Below are 7,366 nucleotides of genomic sequence, written 5' to 3'. Positions count from 1 at the left end.
AGGATAGCTGATGGCGATCTGGGATGAGTTCCAGGATAGAGAAGATTTGGTACAAAGTCCCTGTGGTGAGAGGGTGCTTGACATAGAACAGAAACCACAAAGGGAACCAGGAGAGGTAGCAGAAAGTGAGTGAGATGAGGGAAGACCAGATAAGGAGTAAGTGAGCAGCGGTGCAGCTTTTAGAGAGGGATAAGAAACTTTGGTGGGTCCTCAGAAGAGGCGTGTGATCTAACACATGCTGCAGGTCCCATGCTGACTGCCCGCTGGAGAATATATCACGGGGAACCAGGGATGGAAGCTAGGAGAACAGCTAAATCCAGGCAAGAGATAATGATGGTGCTTGGACAAGGGTGGTAGCAGTAGCTGTTCATTTAGACTTTCCAAGAAAAGGTACTTTCCAGGTTATTACTATTTTCTATACCCTGACAAAAAAATAGAATTTTATTTCAATTCAACTAGAAAGACCTAGTATTTCTAGATTGCCAAAATCTAAATAGTGAAATAGTGAAGTAGTGTGCACATATGTATGCACACATACAGACACACCAACTATAGCCCAATCTCACTTCAAAATGTATGACCAAAGTAGAATATAATTATAAGTTAAATATTAGCATATTCCTACCAATTGTACCAAAAATACTAAGGTAGGAGGCAGCACTTGACTCTAGAGGTGGGGCTCAGACTCTTCAGACCAGATTGAAGACTGAGTGAAACAGGAAAGAGGGAAAAGCATCTCTCCATGAGACACACACCCCAGTGTCATGTCAGTTTACTGTTGCCATGGCAACATTCAGACATCACCACCCAAAAGTTATCATCCAAAAAATGTGATCTGGGGTCTGTAATATTAAAAGTGATTTTTCTTATTTTCTTCTTTTACCATATTTTTCTATACTCAGTACATATTACCTGTGCAAATTTTTTAATGATTGGCAATTTCACATTACTTATCAATAATTTAGGTATGTCTATATTTTATTCCAGCAGTTTGAATATCAAAAATGTATTCTGAGGTAAAAATCATAGCTGTACACAATAATTTAGCTTCAAAGACATGCCTTGAAGTATTGATTATATTATTGAAGAATTAGAAATGATTTAAATGTCTAACCACAGGAGGCTCTGTAAATGAATTTTGATTCATCCAGACAATGAAATTGTGTGTGTATGTGTATGTGTGTATGCCTGTGTGTGTGTATCATAGAAGATCACTTGTCTTAATAAAATGCCTTCAATATATTGACCAAGAAAAAATAAGTTAATTTAGAAAACACATTGAAATCATAACGTAATTTCTATTACACAAACTTTTTTAAAGTAACTAACGGCATCTATACCAAAATACAAAGGAGAAAATGTCACAATTTATTCTTTCTGTGTTGTTAGTTTCTACTGAATTTATAATATTTATTATTTGTATAATATAATAAAATATTATACTTAATTATTTTATTATTTCTAATTTGTATAAACTAGGAATATAAAATTTCCTGAAATAGTAAAATTACTAAATATATGGCTTTATACTTGTAGAATGGATAAAATTTTTATACTCTCTATTCCAATAACAACACTTACATAAGAAAAAGAATAGAAAGCTGAAGGAAATCGCTGATAACACAGAATGTGTCTCTATTAAAGCCAAAGACACTGAAGTAGACTTATCAGTTTGTAAACTGATAGTACATAAAGTAAAAGTTATAATTTCTAGTTGGGGGTCCGTGGAACAGGAGCTGATATTTTCAAATGTACACCTATTTGGAATTACACATTTCCAAATTCTAGGGACTGTAATTATGAAATCAGAAAAATCTCAAAACCTAGAATAAATTTTCTCCAATTGGAAGTTTAAAGGGATGGATTAAACTCAGGAATCTCAAAACTAGCAACATAATTTTTTAAAAAAATCTGAAAAATCTTCAGTCTTCTCCACAGTTATAACGTATTATACTATGCATTCATTCACCAAGCCACCAAATATTTCTTAATCATAAGTTTGAGGTAATAGAGCTGTAGGTGTTATTGATATAAAATAAATAAATGTGTCCTCCCCAATGAGTTTATAATTTAATAGGAGAAATAGCTAATATCCATACAGTTCTTTATGTTACATGTGCATTTATAAGCATATCAGAATGATATGTAATCATCTCCCACTCACCTGACCTTATGGAAGTCTTCCAAACCAGTAAATTCACTGGTCTGTTATAGTTTCTATTCCACTTGACCTCACTGATCGCTTTCTACCCTTCTTGAAACACGCTTTTCTTTTTGCTTCTAGGCCAGTGAATTCCTTGGTTTCTACCTAGTGGCCTCATGGACTTTGCTAGCTTCTGTTCCTCTTCCCATCTTCAGGGCTCTATCATGGGCTGTTTCCCCTCTAACTTCACATGTCTTCTTTGGTTATCTCAATTACTGCCATGACTGATGACTCCCAAGTCTCCATCTCCAGACCAAAGCTCTCTAGAACTGAAAGCTGACTGCTTATTTGACAATCTCGTTAAGTGTCTCACAGGCACCTCAGAGTTTATGCATCCAAACATAAAATCATCTTCCAAACTAATTCTACTTCAACATTTCAGATCTCAGCAAACAATACCTTCATCTGTTGGGTTGCTAAAGTCAGAAACCGAGTCATTCTTGACAACTTCTTTATGTCTCCACCTCGATTTACAGTCATCAATTCCTGTCAAGGCAAACTCCTACATATCGCTCAAGTATATCCCTTCTCCCCAACTCCATTGCAATTTCCTCGACCCAAGCACCATGATCTGGTACACGGAATTACTGTCAGAGCCCTGCAACCATCTGAGCTGCTTTCGCTCAATCCATGCTCATACCTCATACACATTCTGTGCCATAAACAATTCAAAACTCACTACCAGCTACGAAAATGAGGAGAACACATATGCGTCTAAAATGGATGCGCATGGGGGAGAAGGAGCTGAGAACGATGTTTGATTAACAAACCAACAGGGTCTGGGTCTGTCAAGGCCATAATGAAACTTACTACTATAATAATCCTTTGAATAGTAAAAATTGCATGCAGACTACAACACTAGCTCTCAAACTTAGGCACTCTTTGGAATCAGTGGGGACACTGAAAAATGTCTGTGTCTAGATCCAACTCTTAAATATTCTGATTTCATTGAGAAAGGCACTGAAATTTTTATAGCTCTTTAGATAATTTTAACATGTGATAAAGTTCAAGAACGACTGATCTGCAATACTGCTGAGTCTTTGCACCCCCCTACCCTACCCCCACTACCATCTCTGCTCAGGACCTTCCACCACCCATTGAATTTTACTTTTTCTTTTTCTTTCGCCTCTCAAGAAAATCTATCAGAAGGTAAGATTTGTTTTTATCCTGTTTACCTTGATAAGATTTTTTTCCTGGGATATGTACACAGTGTTTATTAAAAGGAATTTCTCTCTAAATTTTGGTAGTCTGATAAAAGAGAGCACTTGGGAATGAATTTACAAGGCTCTAATCTGGGATTTGTCAGCAAGAGAGAAAAAGAGTAAAAGGTTTCCATCAAATGATAACCTTGTAACCTCAGATCTCCAAATCAGCTTTAGCCGATGTAAAAGGGGAAAAGAAATATCAGGAATAATTATAACATTTTAGGTAATGCCACATTAGTCTCTCTGTCTGTAGTATTTTCTTTTTCCTTCCACATTTATTTAAGGTACATGACATTTTAGATGGAATAAAATTTACTCAAATAAATGGATTATTGTCATAGGAAACAAGGTTTACTTATTTGTAAATCATAGAATATTTTGCATAGAACCTTGCAACCCAGATCTCCAAATCAGCTTTAGCCAATGTAAAAGGAGAAAAGCAGTATCAGGATTAATTATCACATTTTAAGTAATGCCACATTAGCCTCTCTGCCTATAGTATTTAAATTTTCTTTCACATTTATTTAAGGTACATGACATTTTAGATGGAATAAAATTTACTCAATTAAATAAATGAATTATTATTATATGAAACAATGTTTACTTATTTATAAATCATAGAATATTGGGAGGGAAATGTTACAGAAAGCACATTTAAGATACAAGATTTCTCTGAACACTGATGGGAGCCTAAGGTTACATTGATGGTATTCCACTAAGGTTTTAACAACATAACTTATTCATGTACGCCCTTGGCTATTTTCTAGACTATACTTCCCCAAAGATAAAGAAATATGAAGAAAACCTTTGAAGAGCATCAGGTCATAATAGACAAAATGTCTTATGCTACTGATGGATAGCTATAAGGTTATAACACAGCAATGAAAGACTCATAATGGCTACAGCAGACATGCAGAGGAGAATTTGACAGGATCCAGGATTACTTGGTCATATTAAAACAGAAACCCAAATATAAATGGGTAATGTTAAAATTCAAGAAAAACAAATGAATGTGGTGACAAAGGGCACATAGCTTAGAGAGTCACAAGCTCACTGGTGAATGACAGAAGGAACAAAATGTAACCTTGTCTGTAAATAATCTGAAATAACATTTGCTCTAGGACCAGCCAGTGATGGAACATTCTCTCCAGAATACAACACATTCTCCCCATAGGTAATGGGGTTTCATGAGGAATGACATATTCTTAGATTCTCAGAACACATAAAGACACTCTTTATTGAAATCATAAGTGAGAGTCGGCTGTGTTCATACAATTCAACATGAATAGGAAACAGATATCTTTCCAAGTAATGTAAGTCAATAGGACAATTTAATTTTAAAAAAATCTACTCTTGTAAAGTGAGCCATTTTTCTGACAGTGCAGTCACCATTGTTCAGACAATCTGAGTTACAAGAAAATGTCTTTATCCTTTTGATCGGGAGGCCCTACCCTCAGCAGAATTTGGGAGGATTCTCTGTCTACCCTCGGTTGTTGTTAAAGTACACATCATTTTGTGATTCGATTGCAGCCCTGACACGCATTCTAGCCTGATCTTTTGGGGAAAGTAGACTGGCTCCCTTGAGCAGGTTCTTCTACCAGTTATGGTAAGTAAGCTTCATCACTGGAGCTAAGGCATGTGCTATCTGAAGAATGGGGTTGAGAGGTAGACCTTATCTAGACTCAGGAGCAGAGTGTCCAGTTGATTAGTGATGCCTGCCCGGGGCAAGGACGAGTACGTGTGCTTCCCTGCGCTTGCTATTCTTCCACCATTTAGAAAGTGGATTTCTTGGACCCTAGAAACTTTAGGAACACTGGGTCTGAGACATGCTATCCAAGGTTTTGCCTATAGATCGATGACTCAAGCATTTACTGGGTGTGTGCTTCAGCATTCCAGTAATGGTATGATTACCTTTGTTGTCCTAAAAGAAAAGATCATTTCTCAGATTAAAAAAAGAAGAAAATGCTTTAAAAGAATGGAGTCAAGCTGCCAATCATTCTGGAGAATTTCTATCTGTGACTTTATATTACATATTTTATGCCAATAATTTAGCTTTCACCTGAACGGATTATCTTGGATTCTGTTCTGACTTACGCTGTGTGAAGTTCACACATTAGGAACAGCTGCTGACATTTCTACATCCAGCTGTCCCAGACTACATCCTAAGACTCTGGGAATTTTTCCTGTATGAATTACTGACCAGATTTGCAATTTAAATTTGAGAGAAATAGTCTAAATTTACCAACGCCATCTTTACCAACCCTGGCAAATAGTAGACCCCTAAAAACTAAAAAGATAAGATGTCACATCTGTTTTCAGTCTTAGTCCCAAAGGTAGTTTATCTCAACCAAGTTCTACATCACTGAGAATAAGTCAAGTAAGAAAGTCCCCAGAATCCCACAGTAGGGTAGTCAAATTTAAGCTCATGCCACTACCACCAGACTTGCTTGTTGGATTAGACAGGTGTTGGCATGAATGCAGTGAGCTTTGAACATCTGAATCTCCTTAATAAAGATGCTGAATGGTTATATTTTGAAATTTTTTATCCCAAGATATTCATGTACCTCCTATAACAGCTATATCTAATAAGTAGTAAATTACACTATTTCTGCACACTAAAAGAAAATAATACCAGATTTAGCTTGAAATTGTCTTGTAAATGCAATAATTATTATATAAGCAACTAATTCCTTTCCTGTGGCATGGAACTTGTTGGGTAAAAGTATGCTCAGATATCATGCTTAAGAGAAATAGTTGAAGATTACATTTAAAAATGGTCTTTATATGTATCTGCTGACTAATTCAGTAATAACTGCAAATGATAAATTATGGGTGGTAAGAAATTATGGCTAAATAACATTAAATTTTAATTTTTGGTTTAGGGGAATGTAGTTTCATACATTAGCCAACATAAATTGGAATTTTCTTATTTCCACATGTCTTGGTGTATAACTCTTTCAACTAATTTGCCCAGAATGGTTTGTGTTTTGTTTTACTTTATTTTCTTCCCTAAAATGACTTGATAGACTAGGATTTGAGCATCGGTTTTGACACCAACCACTAAATGGTGACATCACAACTTTCAACTTTTCTTGTCTTTTTTCCCATGTGTGACATTCTGAAAGTTGTCATCACCTTGGCCTATGATTGCTTGTGGGTCTGAATTGCTGATTTAAGCTGCTTCACAATAAGAACTTTATCTATATCTTCAGGACGTCACATTCTTTCATTCAAAATATGTGTCCCTCTGCCTGCCCTGGGCCAGGGACTACTCTGGATGTGGACCTAGAACAGATTACACATTTGCCCTCATTAGGCTCCTATTCTTGCACCTAGCAGACACTTGATCAATATCTATTATATGAGTGATTGTGTTGGTCTATTTTAGATGCCTCAAACTCAAGGTTTCATGGAGGGTAGGCAGGAAGCATGCAGGGCTGTCAGGATGTAGCCTGATTCTGGCAACAAGAAATCACATCTCATTTAAGGAGGGAAGTCCTAGCTGATTGCTAACCTGTTAGAATGTGGCCCCAGTATTGCCTACTCTTCCATTAGTAATTATAAGGACATATAATTATATATGTGATGATTCCAACAACTAAAATAGAGAATCCTGGAAAGCCTATTCTAGGAAGAAAGATGTATATGGGCCATCCTGGTGGCAATGCTTTAGCAGGCCACTGGAAATATTGTAAGAAATTCCAAATAGGAGCCTTTATTTATTTATTTATTTATTTATTTATTTATTTATTTATTTATTTTGAGATGGAGTCTCGCCCTGTCACCTAGGCTGAAGTACAATGGCGTGATCTCCGCTCATGGCAACCTCCGCCTCCCGGGTTCAGGCAATTCTCCTGCCTCAGCCTCCTGAGTTAGCTGGGATTACAGGCACCTGCCACCATGCCTGGCTAATTTTTTTTGTATTTTTAGTAGAGACAGGGTTTCACTATGTTGACCA

Source organism: Homo sapiens, chromosome 20 (genome assembly GCF_000001405.40).
Source record: "Homo sapiens chromosome 20, GRCh38.p14 Primary Assembly".
In the NCBI taxonomy this organism is placed as follows: Eukaryota; Metazoa; Chordata; class Mammalia; order Primates; family Hominidae; genus Homo; species Homo sapiens.
Note: the sequence above shows the minus strand (reverse complement) of the source record.